Raw genomic sequence first — 21206 nt, forward strand, 5'->3', positions numbered from 1 at the left:
TATCCTGACGGGGAGACACCTCCTAGTAGGGGCCAACCGACACTTGATACAGAAGAGCTCTGGCTGGCATCTGGCAGGTGCCCCTCTGGAACGAAGCTTCCAGAGGAAAGATCAGGCAGCAATCTTTGCTGTTCTGCAGCCTCCGCTGGCGATACCTAGGCAAACAGGGTCGAGAGTGGACCTCTAGCAAACTCCAGCAGACCGGCAGCACATGGGCCTGTCAGAAGGAAAACTAACAAACAGAAAGGAACAGCACGTCCACTCAAAGATCCCAACCGAAGGTCACCAAGAAAGGATATCAGTGATAGAAGATCAAATTAATGAAATAAAATGTGAAGACAAGATTAGAGAAAAAAGAATAAAAAGGAACAAACAAAGGCTCCAAGAAATATGGGACTATGTGAAAAGACCAAATCTATGTTCGATTGGTGTACCTGAAAGTGACAGAGAGAATGGAACCAACTTGGAAAACACTCTGCAGGATATTATCCAGAAGAACTTCCCCAATCTAGCAAGACAGGCCAACATTCCAATTCAGGAAATACAGAGACCACCACAAAGATACTCCTCAAGAATGCATAATCATCAAGACACATAATCATCAGATTTACCAAAGATTAAATGAAGGAAAAAATGTTAAGGGCAGCCAGAGAGAAAGATCAGGTTACCCACAAAGGGAAGCCCATCAGACTAACAGCAGATCTCTCAGCAGAAACCTACAAGCCAGAAGAGAGTGGGGGCCAATATTCAACCTTTCTAAAGAAAACAATTTTCAACCCAGAATTTCATATCCAGCCAAACTAAGCTTCATAAGCAAAGGAGAAATAAAATCTTTTACAGACAAGCAAATGCTGAGAGATTTTGTCACCACCAGGCCTGCCTTACAAGAGCTCTTGAAGGAAGCACTAAATATGGAAAGGAAAAACCGGTACCAGCCACTGCAAAAGCATACCAAATTGTAAAGAACATCGACGCTATGAAGAAACTGCATCAACTAATGGGCAAAACAACCAGCTAGCATCATAATGACAGGATCAAATTCACACATAACAATATTAACCTTAAATGTAAACGGGCTAAATGCCACAATTAAAAGACACAGACTGGCAAATTGGATAAAGAGTCAAGACCTATCAGTGTGCTATATTCAGGAGACCCATCTCACATGCAAAAAACACACATGGGCTCAAAATAAAGGGATGGAGGATGATTTATCAAGCAAATGGAAAGCAAAAAAAAAAAAAAAAAAGCAAGAGCTACCATCCTTATCTCTGATACAAAAGACTTAAAACCAACAAAGATCAAAAGAGAAAAAGAAGGGCACTACATAATGATAAAGGGATCAATACAGCAAGAAGAGCTAACTATCCTAAATATATATGCACCCAATACAGGAGCACCCAGATTCATAAAGCAAGTTCTTAGAGACCTACAAAGAGACTTAGACTACCACACAATAACAGTGGGAGATTTTAACACCCCACTACCAATATTAGACAGATCAACAAGACAGAAAATTAACAAGGATATTCAGGACTTGAACTCAGCTCTTGACCAAGCGGACCTAATAGGCATCTACAGAACTCTTCACCCCAAATCAACAGAATATACATTCTTCTTAGCACTTCATCGCACTTATTCTAAAATTGACCACATAATTGGAAGTAAAACACTCCTCAGCAAATGCAAAAGAACGCAAATCATAACAAACAGTCTTTCAAACCACAGTGCAATCAAACTGGAACTCAGGATTAAGAAACTCACTCCAAACCGCACAACTATATGGAAACCGAACAACCTGCTCCTAAATGACTACTGAGCAAATAACGAAATGAAGGCAGAAATAAAGATGTTCTTTGAAATCAATGAGAACGAAGACACAATGTACCAGAATCTCTGGGACATATTTAAAGCAAAAAACAAAACAAAACAAAAAAGGAAAATTTCAGGCCAATATCCCTGATGCACACTGATACTAAATCCTCAAAGATGTTGAATAGGTATTTCTCCGAAGAAGATACACAAATAGCCATAAGAACATGAGAAGATGCTCAAAATTATTTTTCATTGGGGAAATGCAAATAAAAACCAAAATGATACCAGTCTACACCCATTAGGATGCTATAATAACAGGTGTTGGTGAGGATATGAAGAAAATGAAACACTCATACATTGCTGGTGGGAATGTAAAATGGTATAGCTGCTGTGGAAAACAGCTTGGCATTTCCTTGAAAAGTCAAACATAGAGTTACCATTACAGTTACCATATGAACCAACAATTCCACTCCTAATTATATACTCAAGAGAACTGAAACACATGTCCACACAAAAATCTGTATATGAGTGTTTACAGCAACACTATTCATAATAGCCAAAAGGTAGAAACAGATCAAATGTCCACCAATGAATGAATGGATAAACAAAACATGGCATATCTATAAATAGAATATTATTCAGTCATAGAAAGAAGTAGTGATATTTGCTACAGTATGCAAGGAGCTTGGAAACATGATGCTAAGTGAAGAAGCTAGACGCTAAAGGTCACATTATTGTTTGATTTCATTTATGTGATATATCCAGAATAGGCAAATCCACAGACATAGAAAGAAGACTAGTGGCTGCCAGGGCCCAGAGGAATGTGTGAATAGGGAGAGACTTTTTCATGGATACAAGGCTTCTCTTGGGGTGATGATAAAGTTCTGGAATTAGGTAGTGGTGACAGTTGCAAACATTGCGGATATACTAAAACCATTCAAATGTACATTTTAAAATGGTTAAAATAGTGACTTTCATCTTAATATTTTTATTTTTAAAAAACAGAATTCATAACTAGAGATATGTATTTGAAAGTCATCAGTGTAAAGATAATCATAAAGTCATAGGCATAGGTATGACTGCTCAAGTAGATTTGTAGATAATTAAGAGAGAACCAGGAATTAAACCCTAGAGAACAAAACTGTGTGTGTGCATATGTGAGTGCATGTGTGTAGTGAAAGAGACCAAGCAGGTACAATCAGGCTGTAACAGATTAAACTGAAACAAAAACAAACAGAACACTATAACTGATTATTATTTAAGTATTTGAAAGAAGTATTTCTTAATTTGAAAGAAGTACAAAGTAAAACTTTGAAAATCAAAGAAAACTTGGGTTCTATATAAATGCACCTAAACCTGCAATATTACAAATGGTACCTGTCAGTAACTTCCATGAAATTGAGCAGCAAGGTATCAAAAAGAGCAATCAGTTCTTTCTGAAGTTGTTGCCTGACAGCAGTCCGGATATCATCTGTTTCTTCTCGTGCCTGTGACTCTGTCAGAACCAAGAGGTCTAACAGTGGGTTTGCACTCTAAAAAATGAAATTTGTAAAAAATGTATTTACTAATTGAACTATATATTGTTTCCTATAAAGGGTTTGGTTGCTAAGCAAGTTCTAGTAAGAGCTATATTACCTAACTAGTAGGTGTGGGCCTTTACTGCATTAGTAGAGATGTTCTAAATTCAAAAGATGTTTAATATATTCTCAACAAAAGAAAAACATATTTATCATATAAAATAGAAAAAAAGGACGAGAAAAACAAAACCACACATAATCATGCCACACAGAAATTGCCACTATTATATATTGATATATAACTCTCCTTTTTGTTTCTGAGAATATAAACAGAATTAAAACAGTACATTTTTCACAAACCCGTATCAAGTGAAAAAAATCACTACTGTAACCATTTTTTCCTACTTCCCGTTATTAACAATATTTCTGCAAAAACATTAGTTTAATATCTGATTGTTTTTCAACAATAAGGATTTACCACACTAACTCCTGGATAATCAATGATGCATAATTTCACTAAGCTGCAACACACAGTGTACTCAAGTTGGATTTTATCTTATGTATGAATTCTGCAATAAAATTACTAAATCAAAATATTATAGTAGTTTTAATTTTTTGATATATATTGCCAAATTGTCCCTGTAAAAAATGTACCAATACATACAATTACACAGGACATGAAAAGACCCACAGCACCCAAGCCAGTGCTATGTGGATTATTACTGCAATAATCTTTGCCACCTTGATAGGCTAGTAAACAAATACTAGTTCTTTCTAAAGTTTTTCCTCTTTTCCCAACTAAAAAAAAAATAGATAAAGGAATATAAGAGGATTATTTCTAATAATATTGACAAAAGAAAACGTTACATTAATCAGAAGCATTAATAGATATATGGGATATTTATTAATCATCTATGATGCCTCAGGCACTGTGCTAAAAAAAAAAGATAGTAAGATTTCATTTGACTTTTTGAATAAACTAGAAGATTTGCATTTTCATTCCTGTTTTACAGATGGGAACATAGATTTATAAAGAGGTTAAATAATTGTCTAAGTCTTAGACAGACAAGGGCAGAGCAAGAAGCATCTTACTCCAAAGCTAGTTAATATTCCATCCTCAGCACAGTGTCACATCACTAGTGCATGTAAAAACATACAAAAAGAGATACAATCAAAATGTAACTATTGTTCTTATAAAATCCTTCACCTAAAAGAGCTCAACTCAAAATTAACTGCATTCTCTTTAGGGAAAAGAAATGAAAATATGTAAAGAAACCTCTAAATTGCTTATAGTATATAGAGATATATACAATTATAAATAATATAACTGAGAGCTTTTGGAAACTAGTAGTGACATTTTGCTCTTATTTTACAGTATTTTAACATCTAAATAGTTTTTTTCCCAACTTTTTCTTTTATCTTAAGCAATATATGTCTTTGGATAAATTAAGATTGAATAAGACATAACTGCAACTTTTATGTTTCATACATGAATAAAAGAATCGAAATACACATTTAGTAAATCATAAAAATAAATAAATTTTCTATAATGTTCTGAGCCCTAAATATCCAAAAGCTGACTCACATTCACGTGCCTTCTGACTCCCAAAACTACTGACAAAATGAACAAACTGTTTATACCAAGACGCAAACTCCATCTTGTAAAACAATTTTATTATTAGGAATTATTAATTCTGATATGCTGATAAAAATTAAGTAGAAGCTACTATTAATACATGAATATACTGAAACAGTATGTGTATACCTAAAAATTAAGATTCTCCCAAAGAATCTCATCCTATTAATAACTTGCTTCCACTTGAAGATTACTGAAGTTTTTTTTTCTCTTTTCACCTTTGATTTACATGTTAACACTGAAATTCAGTGAACCTCAGCAATACCACTTGTAAAATATAGGGTGAATTACCATTTCTCAAGTACAATAGAGTAGAATAAGATGTCTCTACTGATGCCTACAGATGTCAAGTGCTTAATCATATCTGAAGTTTTTGTCTTTAGACGTTAGGATTCAATCCTAATTTTAAACCAACTACTTGGGCCATTATTTTGTCACTGTTGACCTCTAAAAGGCAACCATTTCTATAATGATGGCTCATTTTGTTTACACACACAGTTACCACTCATCATATCCAACTTTACATCCATCAGCAAGCTATGCCAAAAGTAACTGCAAGACCCTCAATAATGTCTGAGTGCACATTGAGCCCGTTACGGGAAAGCCAGCCAAGGAAAATATATATGCTGTGTAGTTCTGCTGAGCTTCACCAAAAGAAGAAAAAAACTAACAGCCCCACATTTGTGAACTTCCATCAAAAAAATGCATTCCAAAAAGAAAGGTATTCAAATTCAGCACTTCTAGGTTACTATAAACAAAATATCATATTAAAAACAGATTAGAGGTGCAATAAACTCCTAAATTGCCTAAGAATTACAATATGTTTGTAATAAGTGAATGTCTTGATAAAACACATGGAAAAAAATTTCACAAGAGAAAGTTCCTAAATCTTCCCTCGGGAAGTTAGCTGATTTTTCTTTTCACTTCCTCTTAGCATTCTTCTGACTAATCAGGCGTTCATATCTGCCTAATTTTGTTTTTGCAACCACAACTTTTGTATATCTTTTCATGTATGTCCATACATTCAAAGCAATTTACTTGGAAATGTTATTTTACTGAGCTTCTTAAATCATTTCTCACTTATTTTACTCACTTCAAAGGATAAACTTTAAAAGGTACTTGATTTTCTATTTCCAGGTTCCCTTTATCCTAAACATTGGTAGTTATATAACATATATTAATTTATCTTGTAGCATAATATTTAGGGAGTAAACCCAACTGATAGTGAACACTTAAGTTCACTTTTGTGCACTCTTAAAAGTAGTATTATTTATAACACTTGTGGTGATAATATATGAGATAAAGTAGAAGCTTTCCGAAGAAAGGTTTAATACCATACAAAACCAAATAAGTAAATGTAACTGTACCAAAAATCCTTTTCAAAAACTGCATTAAAATTATAGTACAATCATCTAGAGTCTTGTAGGAATTTAATTTTAATTTCATAACTATGAATAAATTATAAAATATACATAAACCTTATGACATACTACAAAATTAACAGTACATGTATGGTGTTACAAGTCTTAACAAATATAACAAGACTGAAATCATATCTAATATCATTTCTGACCATAGTGATAAAAAACTAGAAGTCACCAAAAGAAGGAATTCTGGAGTATTCACATATACATAAAAATTAAGCAACATGCTCCTGAACAATCAGTGGGTCAAAGAAAAAGCTAAAAGGGAAATTTTAAAATATCATGAGACAAACAAAAATGGACACCAAACCAACCAAAACTTATGGGATACAGCAAAAGCAGGTCTAAGAAGGACATACATAACAATAAACATCTATGTCAAAAAGAAAGATATCAAGTAAACAACCTCAAGGAACTAGAAAAAGAAGCATAAATGAAGCCAAAACTTAGTAAAAAGAAAACAATGAAGATAAGGGCAGATACAAATGAAATAGAAACTGGAAAAACAATAGAAAACAGTAACAGAATCAAGAATTGAGATTTTGAAAAGATGAACAAAATTGACAAACCTTTAGCTAGACTAATAAAAAAAGAAGACAAAATGAGAAACGAAAAGGGAAGACATTACAACAGATACCACAGAAACACAAGGAATCGTAAGAGACTATTATGAACAATTTCATGTCAACAAATTGGACAACCAAGTGGAAAAAATTCTAGACACATAGAGCTACCAAGATGGAATCATGAAGAAACAGAAAATCTGAACAGACCAATAATAAGGAGATTAAATCAGTAATGCAAAGTCTTTCACCAAAAAAAAGCCCAAGACCTGATTGATGGCTTCACTGCTGAATTCCACCAAACATTTAAAGAATTAATACTAATCTCTGTACTCCTAAAACCAAATGAAGAAGGAATACTTCCAAACTCACTTTATGACGGCAGCATTACACTGATACCAAAGCCAGACGTGGGAACTACAAGAAAAGAAAATTACAGGCTAATATCCCTGATAAACACAGATATAAAAAATCCTTTACCAAATACTGGCAAACTGAAACCAAGAGCACAATAAAAAGATCACTCACTATAATCAAGTGGAATTCATTCCAGGGATGCAAGGATGGTTCAACATACACAAATGCGTAAATGTGATACACCAAATTAACAGAATTAAGAACAAAAACCACATGATTATACCAACAGATGCAGAAAAAGCATTTGACAAAATTCAACATCCTTTCATAATAAAAACTCTCAATAAATTAAGTAGAAAAGGAATCCCAACACAATAAAGGCCATATATGAAAAACCCACAGCTAACATCATTCTCAATGGTGAAAAGTTTAAAGCTTTTTCTCTAAGATCAGGAACAAGACAAGGATGTCTACTCTCACCATGTCTATTCAATATGGTACTGGAAATCCTAGCCAGAGCAATTAGTATATAGAAAGAAATAAAAGGCATCCACATTAGAAAAAAGGCAAGTTAAGCTGTCCCTCTATGCTGATGATATAATCTTAAATCTAGAAAAACCTAGACTCCACCAAAAAACTTTGATCTTAAAAATGAATTCAATAAAGTTGCAGGATACAAAATCAACTTATAAAAAATCAGTAGCATTTCTATACAGTAACCGCGCCCCCCCAAAAAAAAACCTCATTTAAAATAGCTACCAAAAAAAATTAAGATATTTAGGAATAAATTTAATCAAAAGGTGAAAGATCTCTACACTAATGTCCAAGTTGCAGGTACCAGAATGAAATCACGCTCCAAGGAAAGGGGAGGGGAGGGAAGAGGAAAATGGAAGGAAAAAGCAAAGGAGAAAGGGAAGGGAGAAGGGAAGGGAGGAAAAGAAAGGACAGGAAAGAAGAAATGAAAGGAGACTAACAACCCAATTGTGGCGGAGAACCAGCAAGGACATCAAGATACAATTCATGAAAAGACCGAATATGAAAAAATCTCCATCTAATTCAAAATAAGTTATCTATTTATAAAACCACAAAAACCTCAGCACACACGCACCTCTACAATTTGACTCAGCAATTACAATTCTAGAAATTCAGTCTATAAATATACTTGCATATATAAGTAACCTTGAAAGTAATACATGGTTTCCATTTTTGTTAAATCTTAACTAGTGATAAAATTAAGGTTTTGTGTGCTTCTTGTAATTAACTACATAGCTTATTACTGAGTTAATAAATGTTTATTGAGAGCTCACTATGTGCAAGGCACTATAATAAATGCTGGGTATGCAATAATGAACAAAACAGTCCCTACCTTCACCAATCTACAATAAAGGAAAAGATAATTACTATGGTTTGAACATTCCCTCCAAAATTCATGTTGAAATTTAATCCCCAAAGTAACAGTATTGAGAGGTGGGGCCTTTGGAGGTGACTGGATCATGAAGGCCCTACCCTCATGAATAGACTAATCCATTCATGGATAGTGGATTAATGGGTTATCATGGAAGGGGAACTGATGGCTTTGTAAGAAGAGAAAAACCTGAGATAGCACATCAGCATGCTCAGCCCCCTCACCACATATACCCTGCATCACCTCGGGACTCTTCAGAGAGTCCCCACTGCAAGAAGGCTCTCACCAGATATGCCCTCTTAAACCTGGACTTCCTGCACCCCATAACTGTAAGAAATAAATTTTGTTTTTTATAAATTACCCAGCTTCTGATATTATGTTAAAAACAACAGAAAACAGCCTAAGACGATAATAAACCTCTAAATAAGTTTTATATACACACAAACATTCATATCAGTTAGCATTTCTGACAACACAGTAATTCATATTTTTACATAAAATTATCTCTAAGTTTCGCAAATGTGTTAATATATAATGAAACATATTTGCCTTATAAGATCCACTATGTCCTATATCAGTTTAGGCCCTCTTTTCTAGTTTTGTTTTGTTTTTCTTCTTATTTGTGTAAAGCTTTATCTTAGCTAAGTTGAGTAAATTCATACGGTATTTGCAAATAAATACATAAAGAGACAGATAGACCAACAACAGGGACCTGGCTTCTTGGGTTCTTCACACGCTTCTTAGAATAAGAAATCTGAATAGCCAAAATTTTTAGAATAGCTATTTAGAAAAATTTTAGAGCCAGGCACGGTGGCTCACGCCTGTAATCCCAGCACTTTGAGAGGCCAAGGTGGGCGGATCACCTGAGGTCCGGAGTTCAAGACGAGCCTGGCCAACATGGTGAAACCCTGTCTCTACTAAAAATACAAAAATTAGCTGGGCGTGGTGGCAGGCACCTGTAATCCCAGCTACTCAGGAGGCTGAGGCAGGAGAATCATTTGAACCCAGGAGGCAGAGGTTGCAGTGAGCCAAGATCGCACCATTGCATTCCAGCCTGGGTGACAGGGCGAGACGCCGTCTCAAAAAAAATAAAAAAAAAAAATTTAGAATTTTTAGAAGAGCTAAAAATCTGACAGTAGTGGGGGCTAGAAGGGTAAATATTCCAGTAACCGTTATTTAAGGCCTGAACACACTTTATCTTTATAACTGCACCATCACTATACCCCCTCCTGCCTCCATCTGGCTTTGTTAGCTAACTCTCAACATGCCTATCTGGACATCCACCCTGTCCCCTGCCACCTGAACTGAAATCCCCACTTAAAAATACAGTTGCAGCAGAAAGTTCACATGCAGAACAGGTTTTATTAAACACAAGACTGTAGGTCCCATTCACTGTACAGAATTTTAATAAACACATTCACAATCGTATCAGGAAAGCCATGTTGTTATGAGCCATTCATTACATGAAGACTACTTTACCAAGCATAGACAATATAAAATTATCCTTTTCCATAATATAATGTTAATGATTTCTACAAATAAGTTATTTCCCAAACTTAAAATCCAAATTCCTTAACACCACTTACATGTCTAAGAAGTAATTCGAGAATCCAGTTTAGAAGTTCTAGTGAAGAATTTTTTCTTTGTTCCTTTATTAATTTATTTAAAAAATGTATGATATCTATTAGCAGTTTCTCATCTTCAGTGCAAGCAGGAAGCACCTGTAAAAACCTATAATGAAAAGACAATAATCATGGTTTCTGGCGCTTTAAAATACACAATACCACTGTTCATCATAGATATGTGGACTTAACAGATGTCTTGTGAGGATGCTATTTTATGAGACACTGTTTTAAATGCTTTGGAAAATGCAAAGTTGAAACAAACTGGGTATCTGCCTTCAAGAACATGAGCTTATAGTGGAAAAAACATGTGGACAAGTAACTAAAATAACTAGAAGTGACAAATATCATAAGAGAAAAATAACAAATTCAGAAAAAGTACCAAAAAAATACCAAGGGGAAAAACACTGACTCTAATAACCGCCCAGTGAAACTTGCTTTTCATACTGGGAATGTCATGTTTCACTGATGAGAAGAATTAGTACTTCAAACCTAATTCTGACCAACTCGAAAAAATAAGGTAATAAAGTGAGGGGGAAAAAAAGGCCTGCAAGGACGCTACTAGAGTTTGTAACAGGCAAGGAAAACACTGAAGGTAGACTTAGGATGAAATTTCTTTTTAAGTTCAGAGCAAAAGGATATGAGCCAATTTTCTAAGATTTCTTTAAAAAAAAAAACTGGTTTAAGAGAGCTAAAAGATTAGTAGACAATAAAACTTTTATTTAAAAGGGAGAAGTAGTTTGGAAATCGTTTTTTTTAAAAAGCAATCAGCAAGAGATATGAGATCCAATTTTATCTGTAATGTTTTATTTTTTATAAATCTAAAGCCATTGCATCAAAATGTTAATAAGAGTGACAATAATACGAATCTTAATACTCAGCATTTATGGAGCACCAACCTTGTGCCAGCCTATGTTCTAACAGCAGGGTTTCTGTCAAACTTCATAACAACATTATGAAGTAGGCACCTCTATTTCAAAGACAAGAAGACCCAAGCAAAAATATGGTTAAGTCGTTTTTCCACAGTCACACGGCTAGCAAGTTTTAAAACAGGAATACTAAACTAAGCAGTCCAACACCAGGGATATATAATGCTGTATTTCTTAGTAATGTGGTGTTTGTCTCATTATTATTTTTCCTTACTTAAAATTCTCACATCCCCAAAATGACATTCAGCTGAGTAGGATGGCAAGTGCCGGATTATGAAAATTGAGAGGTGATTCTAACAACCATAGATCTTTGGGAGATTTATGATTTAACAATCACAAAGATTATAAGAAGTCTTCTATGATATCCAGTGTAACATTAAAATATCACCTCTGTAACCCCATTTTATAACCACCCTCATATCCCCTAAATCTAAGTGTACTATCCTCTTTTCAATTCCTCTTGAAGACACAAGACACTCTTTCCTAACTCAGGGCCTATCCCTTTGCCTGGCATTTAAAAAAAAAATTAATTTGTATAATATTTGTTGAATATGGCATTTTAGTCTAGAGGAGAAATAATATATTCTGCAAGTGGTTGTGAGTCAACTGACCATCCATTTACGGATTCAAAGTATCAAATTTCTGTCACATAACATGCACCAAACTATATTCCATTTATTTGTTTTATTTTTAACTGACAAATAATAATTGTATGTATCTTTAGGATACAATGTGGTGTTCTGACACATGTATACATTGTGGAATGATCCAATCAGGCTAATTAACATACCAATCACCTCAAATACTTATTTCTCTGTGGTGAGAACATTTAACATCTATTCTTTTAGCTATTTTGAAACATATATTATTATTAACTATAGTCACTATGCTGTAAGAGATCACCAGAACTCATTCCTCTTGTCTAACTGGAATTTTGTAACCTCTCAGCAACGTCTCCCTTTTCCCTACCCATATCCACCTGCCACTTGCCTCTGGTAACAATTCTACTCTACTTCTTTGAATTCGACTTTTTTAGATTCCATATATAAGACAGATCATGTGGTATTTGTTTCTCTGTGTGCCTGGTATCTTTTCGGCTTCCAATCCCATAGACTTTTAACATCCTTCTACCTGTTATGCCTTGGCTTAAGCTTCATTCTCTGAACCACTTTCTCTCTACTGAAGAGGGATAGGGTGCTCCTCTAATGCAGTTTCCTAATAGTCTGCTTGGAAGCATTTCTACTTTTGATTATACTTTTAGCTGTCTTAATTCCAAGTTCCATGAGAGCAGGACCCTATCAGTTTTGCCCACTGCTATATTTCCTACAAGAGTGACACCTAGTAGGTGATCAATAAATGTTTGTTGAATGATGGAAAAGCAGTAGGAAAAGAAAGGCAGTAGCCCCTTTCTTCCTATTCACCCCATGCCACAGCACCACACCCATATAAGGTATCATGTCCAGATCTCAGGGAGAGTCCTAAGAAACACAATACCCTTGTAAAATAGCATGAACAAATGAGAAGTCTGGACACTGTGGCTTTTAAAGTCTATCTAAAAAAAAAAACAAATCATTTAAAGCAGGGTGGGGGGAATAGAGAAGAAATTATAGTTATGTTTAAATGAAGAGCTGTCACATGTGAAGACATTATTTATTCTGTGAGTTTAAAGGACAGAATAACAGGTAGAAATGATCAGGTACAGTCTAAAAGAACAAAAAACTTACGAATAATCACAGCGCAAAAACAGAATGAATATCCTTCAAAGGAGGTGTTCACGCTGAGGCTGCATGGCCAACTGTATACTATGACTTATGCGATATGTGAGGGATATAAAAAGGAATGTAATAAACCCAAGGCACATGAGAAAACAAATATTTAAACAACTGTAGAAGTAATGCAGGAAAGCCACATGACAATCAGGGTAACTAGAATTCCACATACATCACAGAGTAAGAAGACCCTGGAGCTCAAGGAAGAGTAGATATTCACAAGGCAGCCAAGGAGTTAACTATGTAAAAGCAAGGATGTATAAAACAGAAGTGTATGCCCTAAAATATCAAGCAGTTTCATAAAACCCCAATATTTGCACTTCATAGAAACACAGCATATGTTAGAGAGAGAGGAGGAAACTGTAGCTGAAAAGGTAAGCAAGAGCTAGATCAAAAAGAACTTTCTACAGCATGCTAAGGGGTTGGAATTCTATTAATATCTAGCACACCATGGAAGAGAACCCACAGGTGACATGTATTTCAGAAGGATCATTCAGGAAGCAACATAAATGAGTGGCATAAGGTTAAAAGCAGAAAAACCAATTCGCTAGTCAGTCTACAGTCTGGTGAAAAATGGAGAAAAACAGTAGCAATAGGACTTCCAGTAGGAAAGGAGTAGAGAGGCATTAAACATGCAAACTCAACAGAAACTAGTTGAAAGAAGACTCTAGATACCTCTGACAACTTGTAATCCTACTAAACCATGACTATCATCTGTTTTCTTAAAATAAGTTTCCAAAATGATATTAGATTATAATTGTATGCTTGTGTGTTAGCATACACATATAAAAACATACACATAAATTAATGTTGGGCTGTTAAAATAATCATCTTGGAAAGTTATGTTTAGAAGCCACAGTACCGTAAGTAAAAAGATTTTAGAAACCATGTTTTTTGTCAAACTGAAATATACTTTTGTTAATAGTGATAAATAGTCATGGTTTAGGGTGGTGTTCATTTCGGTATACATGTAAAAATCATTTTTACCCTTCTCTGGATAGTTGAGTTTGCTAATATCATTTTTTAGTAAAAAATTAAATATAACTTCAAAATATAATAAGACTTCCTTACATCTGCTGTTTAAATGACCTGAGAGGACAATTTCAAAATATCTGAGCAAAGCCAGAATTATTCTAACATACACACTCACTCCTAAAAGGACCTCTTTTGCGGAACATTCATTTGGATATATCATATATTTGAAAAATTAGCCTCAAAGTATATTTACTGACATGGAAAATGTGTAAAAAATAACATTATTTTTAAAATACAATAAAAAACCATTCACACAGGTATGAACATGCTTCTCTATATTTTGTTTTGTCTAGAATGATATAATTTGAAATAGCTGTATTTTAAAAATATTAAACTAAGCTTATAAAAATGTTCTCAATATCTCAATACTTTATACAGCCATGATTTATGGGAATCTTCTATCTCCAAGCACCCTTTAAGCTGTTGGTTCATCTTAGATAATCAGTCAAAAAGATAATGTTCCTTTCTATCATTAAACTGAATGAAAGCAAAACTAAAGTTTCCCAAAGCCTCATTAGTACATACATTGCTGGAAGTAAAGTTTTTAAAAAGTTTTCATGAAAAAAGGTGGATTCTGTGATATATATTTTTGATACATTCCTTAGTGAAACATAATACAGCAGAAATACATGAATATTTATAAATTAGGCAGTAGTGTCTGTGTTGCCATGATCAAACACAGGCCTAAAAACCAAATACAAGATGAATATTATATATGCATGTGTGTATATATTAAACATATACACAGTCTATACTCTCCACTTACACTAGTCCTGAGGAAACTAACCATAAAAAATGTGATGCTCACATACAGTTACTGCTATTGGGCAATTTGAAATACTCTAAAGGCTTCCACTGACCCACAGTTTGAGAGTCTTTCCTGTAATGTGGTATTGCATACTATTTCTATGGTTTTAATTCACAAGAGAAAGAAAACTTAGTGCAATGAATTCAATCAGCTTTTATGTTAAAATTTCTTTTGACAAATAGGGACATATTACATTTATTTAAAGTGAAGGATTTATGCATTCTTCAACTGGCGAGACTGTTTAAATGCGGGAGTGTGCTGATAAATATGTAACTGAGAGTGCTGACTTATTGTGTTTGTCAATTTCCATGGTGTAAATATACTACTGTAGACAATGTGGAGCTACCATGTAACATGAAGTTGTGAAGAGATGCACAGTGGTACTCCATTGTAGTTATTTCCATAAAATACATACCCCTGTAGTGCATATGTATGCATAACCTCAAGAACAAAGATAACAGTAAAATGTTGCCACATAATTAGAAAGTGATGTTTGCATATTCATTACCTTTTGTCTTCATATAATTTATTTAATTGTAAGTTTATATAATTAAGAATGGCTGTGTTTAACAATCACCTTACAAAAATCCTGAAAATTCAACCATCAGCTCTCTCACAAGGCTGCATTAGTGGGCACCAGCACACCACTGGAAAGCCTAATCAGATAAACTAATTTTTAAAGCTAAACTAATAAAGGAATTCATATTTTGGAAACTCATTTAACCTAGCAGCTTAAAAACTGCACATTTTATGTTAAATAATAAAGTTATACATTTTATACTAAAGTCACATGAAGAATAAAATGAAAACCTGCTTGCAGTGGTTGCTTATCAGTCTTGTTGCAAATGCAACCATCTGCTACAAGTTAAGCATGTTAAATTGACAAGCTAGAGCCTTCTCAATTAACTGCTATAAAGGACCGCCACATGGCAATCAACTTCATGAAATTGAGAGTAAAAAGAAAAATGATATAATTTACTTAAGAACAAAACAAAAGCAAAACAAAACAGCCTGTGGCAGGTGTATCACAGCTATTAATCAATTCACTGATGTCTCAACTCATTTATAACATGGATAGAAATAAACATTCAATTTGTTTCATCCATGTCTTATCCTAATTATTTGCTTTTGTGAGGTAAAATTTTCTAAGAATAAATTGTTACAAGTTTATTAATAATCCCTTCAACAATGCAATAACTAAATTAAAAATTTCTCTTTGGCTATTATTACAGATGATAAAAATCCTGGAGTTTTTCTTTCTATGATAGCAGCAGTAAGGGCATAGACTCTTATCTTCAAAGGTTAGGAGATGAACACAATACAATGCAATCCAGGTCTTTGAAACTGGCAGCCTTGACCTTACACTGACCTGTTTAGTGCGGTGTGCCAAGCCAAGGACTTCAAGGTAACCCCACATGGACCAGGGCAACCCTTTAAAGACAATCTGTCATTCAGAAGATAAAAACTCATCCTGGTGACAGCAGCCCTAACTTCCCTGTGGGTTGCAGCCTGAACAATGGAATGGAGGCAGTCCTGCAGCCCACTAGCCATGTGTGTTATCTTCAGAGTGAGGATGTCCTCTGTAGATAACTTCAATGCATCTAAAATTCTAGACAAAAAGAAAAAAAATGAAGGAGGAACATAAAGCTATTTAAATAAAAGCTCACACTTATTTCTATTATAAACTCTCCCAAAAGCTGTTTTATCTTCATTTTCTTTTAACAAAAGGTTGACTTACAGCCAGAAGAAAAACTGATACATATCTGTCAATATTAGGATTTTACATTGGCATCCCAAATGTTTATATTGACTTTTCCTCCTTATAAAAATTTTTATTCACTTAAGACAGACAGATTAGAATATTAAGATATTCAAAAGTAATCACCATCACACTAATGATAACACTCATGCATATACTTACTGAGATTTTGTTCTAATCCAGGACCCTTTTCCTAGTGATTCATATCTACGAACAAATCAGACTTTAACCTCTAAAACAGTACAGAGTAAAATGCTTTTTCATTTAAAGTTTTCCCATATGATAGATTGTTAAAAGTAATAAACACATGTAATATTTAAAAGAAAGTAAAAATTATAACTGTTAAAAAGCAGAATCAGATGATACCAAGGGAAAAAGCTACTGGACCTAAGGAAAAAGTAAAACTTAACTAATTAATTACAATTAATTAATTGCAAATGCTTTTTAAACTAATATAAGAGCTTACTCTTGCGTTTTAGTTTCAGAGTTCATTTGCTTCAACAGATTATCACTCCCATGATACCATGACAGGTTCCAAGCTATTCTCAGCATATCTGACACCGGCTTCAAGGCCAAACAATCAGCAGATAAGGGCAAAACTATGGAGTAAGGACTCACAGCATGGTGTCCAATTACATGAACAGGTAGATGGTACCTAAAGAAAATGTGTACAAATAATTACAAACTTTCAAATTCTTAAATGCTACTCAAAAAGATGAGCCACAAATGAGGGCTAGTTCAATGCCTCCCAACCCACAATAATGCAAAGGTTTCTCTTAGTCCCTATTTTAAACAATTATCATAATTTATACAGTATTTCAATTATTCTTTTCATCTCCTCTAAACTCCCCAGAACACTTAAATCCTTTCTTGAGGACTTACCACATTCTATGCTATATTAGAGTTGTTGTGGAGATAACTAATGCTCCTTGAAGTCAGGGACCATGAATACAGTGAACCAAACATAAAAGGTGTTCAGCTAAAACACTGATATTTACTTTATGCCAAACACTGCTTATTTTGTATCATTCATTCACAGTTACATGGTATGGCACTATGATACCTATTTTACAAATGATCAAAAATGAGGCTTAAAGCTGATAAATGAATTGCCTATGATCATAGAGGTCACTAAATGACTGAATTCCAGCTTATTGTTTTCACTTGAGAACATGGTTTCATCATCAATAAATTCAACAAGAACCAAGAAATATGTTTAGAAATAAAAACAGATTCAATAGCAGTATCTTTTAAACCAAAGTTAATTTTGTTCTACCGTAAAGACACATGCATGTGTATTTTGTCTCAAGTTTTTCCTTTAACATGGTGAAATAATCTAACATGCATGTAAATTTGCATCCTAAAAGGAACAAAAAGAAATTTTAAAACTCCTAAAATGTATATGGAACAAAACATGGTCCTAAATAGCCAAAACAATCCCGAGCAAAAAGAACAAAGAGGGAGGTATCACACTGCCTAACTCTGAATTATGCTACAAAGCTATAGTAACCAAAACAGCATGATACTAGCATAAAAACAGACACACAGACCAATAAAACAGAATAAAGAATGCACAAATAAATACACACATTTGGTCAATTTTCAACAAAAGCACCGAGAACATAATTTGGGGAAAGAACAGTCTCTTCAATGAATGGTACTCAGAAAACTGGATATCCATATGCAGAAAAATGAAACTAGATCTCTATCTCTCGCCACATATGAAAATCAAATCAAAATGAATTAAAGACTTAATGTAAGACCTGCAACTATGAAACTACTAGAAGAAAACATTAGAGAAATGCTTCAGGACATTAGCCTGGGCAAAGATTTATTAAGTAAGACCTCAAAAACACAGGCAAGCAAAGCAAAAATAAGTAAATGGGATCATATCAAGCTAAAAAGCTTCTGCATAGCAAAGGAAACAGTCAACAAAGTGAAGAGACCACCTATGGAATGAGAGAAAACACTTGCAAACTATTCAACTGGCAAGAGATTAACCATCAAAATATATAAGGAACTCAAACAACTTAACAGCAAAATAATAATAATAATAATCCAATTAAAAGCTGGGCAAAAGATCTGAATAGAAACTTCTTAAAAGACATACAAATGACCAACAGGTATATGAAAAAATTCTCAACATTACCAATCATCAGAGAAATGCAAATCAAAACCACAATGAGATATCTCACCCCAGTTAAAAAGGCTTTTATCAACAAGACAAAAAAAAATAACAGATGCTGGCAAAGATGTGGAGGAAGGAGAATGCTCACACACTGTTAGTGGGAATGTAAATTAGTAGAGTCATTATTGGAAACAGTATGGAGTTCCTCAAAAAACTAAAAACAGAACCTACATATGATCCAACAATCCCACTGCTGGGTATATATCCAAAAGAAAGGAAATTGGTATGTCAAAGAGATATATGCACTCCCATGTTTATTGTAGCACTATTCACAATAACCAAGATATGGAATCTACCTAAGTGTCCATCAATAGATGAATGGATTTTTTAAAATGTGGTATAAATACACAATGGAGTATCATTCAGATGTAAAAAAGAATGAAATCCTGTCACTTGAAACAACATGGATGGAACTGGAAGTCATTACGTTAACTGAAATAATCCAGGCACAGAAAAACAAACATCACATGTTCTCCTTTATATGTGGGAGCTAAAAAAAAAAAAAAATGATCTCATGGAGATAAAGAGTAGAATGATGATTACCACAGGCTGTAAAGGATGGTGGGGAAGGGGGGAATTAAGAAGGGATGGCTAATGGGTACATAAAAATTTAGATAGAAGGAATAAGATCTAGTGTTCAGTAGCACAATAGGGTAAAAATAGTTAACAGTAATTTGTTGTATATTTCAAAATAACTAGAAGAGCAGATCTGAAATGTTCCTAACACAGAGAATCAATAAATGTTAGAGGTAATGGACATCCTAATTACTCTGATTTGATCATTATACATTGTATGCTTATATCAAAATATCACATGTACTCCATAAATATGTACTATTATATACCCATAAAAATAAAATAAACTCCCCCAAATAAATAAGCAAGCAAGCAAAGTGCTGTGGGATATAGCTGAAGGAACTCCTAAGAGAATGGGGAACACAGTTCCTTCAAAGAAGCAACAATAAAACTGACAGCCAATGTTCCTACAAAAAAATGGACTCCAACTGCCAACCTAGAATTCTATACCTAGTGATAACATTTTTTAAAACAGAAAGAATTTTTAGATTAAAAAAAAAAAAAACCTGACAGAAATCATTGCTAATATAAGTGCACTACATTAAATAATAAAAAACTCTTAAAAAAACAAATTCTCAGATGGAGGCAGAAAAACCAAAAAAGCAATAAAAAGTAACAGAAACGACCACGGTATACAAATCTAAATGACTATTTACTGCATAAAATAATTATAATAACATCTTATAGAATTTAAAATATGTATAGAATTTAAATACCTGACAATAAAAGAAAAAAAAAAGAAGAGCAAATAAATGGAATTAATGTGTTCTAAGGTCCTTGCATTGTCTGGGATGTGGTAAAAATACTAGTTCACAGTCAAGGAAGTAAATTATAATCTCTATATTATAAAAGAATAATCATCTGTATAAAATATATAGAAATAATGTATATAGAAGAATACTTAGCTGGGCACAGTGACTCATGCCTGTAATCCCAACACTTTTGGGAGGCTGAGGTGGGAGAATTGCTTGAAGCCAGGAGTTCAAGACTAGCCTGGGCAACAAAGCAAGATCCCAATCGCTACAAATAAATAAATAAATAAAATACTTAATGTATATGTAACTACAAGTTAACAGCTGGAAAACATGGACTAATTTTAAAAATTAATCAAGAAAAGCCAGAGAGGAAAAAGAAAGAAAAAAACCACATTGGACAAATAGAAAATAGCAAGCTAATAATCTGTATCCAAAAATATTAGTAATTATAGTAAATGTAAAATGCATTAAAATATTCCATTAAAACTGTAAATAATGTCAGATTGGACAAAAAAACTCAACTATATACTTCTTAAAAAAAAAAAGTACATTTAAGGACACAGAACAGCTAAAACTACAAGGATGGAAAAATACATATCATGCTAACCACTAACCAAATAAAAGCTGGGGAAGCTACAGTCATAAGAGATCGAGTGAATTCTATATGATGAAGCACTGCTAGAGATAAAGAAATAATTTCATAATGATAGAGACAACCCACCAGCATGTTTACAAACTAAATTACATGGCCTCAAAATACATTGTCAGCCAGAATGACAATGTCATAGTGGAGATTTTAACATGCCTCTCTGCTACCTGAAAGAACTTCACACACATATAATAAAGTAGACACAGGGAAGATCTGAACACTATCAATAAACCTGATATATTTTGAGACTTATAGAACAGTATATCCAACAACTACTACATATACATTATTATTTTCAAGTACACATGGAACATTTTAAAAAGCTGACCATATGCTGGGCCATAAAGTAAAATTCAACAAACTCTAAAGAATTAAAATCATAGAAAATATTTTCTAATG

At 33.7% G+C, this 21206-nt stretch overlaps 1 protein-coding gene across 19 annotated transcripts in view; it reads right to left on the reverse strand.

Moving 5' to 3' along the window:
* RTTN (rotatin) overlaps positions 1 to 21206 on the reverse strand; it is a 202657-nt gene that overhangs the window by 108222 nt on the left and 73229 nt on the right. For 13 of the 19 annotated variants that reach the window (XR_430072.4, XR_007066140.1, NM_001318520.2 and 10 more), the window contains 4 exons: positions 17106 to 17294; positions 16250 to 16489; positions 10304 to 10448; positions 3193 to 3347 (listed from right to left, as the gene is read on the reverse strand). Coding sequence is in view for 17 of the 19 variants with exons in the window: in NM_001318520.2 (NP_001305449.1) it covers positions 3193 to 3347; positions 10304 to 10448; positions 16250 to 16489; positions 17106 to 17294 (729 nt within the window). In the remaining 2 variants the exon portion in view is untranslated. The other 6 variants (XM_017025693.2, XM_011525902.3, XM_047437468.1 and 3 more) reach the window with 4 other exon arrangements.

Source organism: Homo sapiens, chromosome 18 (genome assembly GCF_000001405.40).
Source record: "Homo sapiens chromosome 18, GRCh38.p14 Primary Assembly".
Classification (NCBI taxonomy): domain Eukaryota; kingdom Metazoa; phylum Chordata; class Mammalia; order Primates; family Hominidae; genus Homo; species Homo sapiens.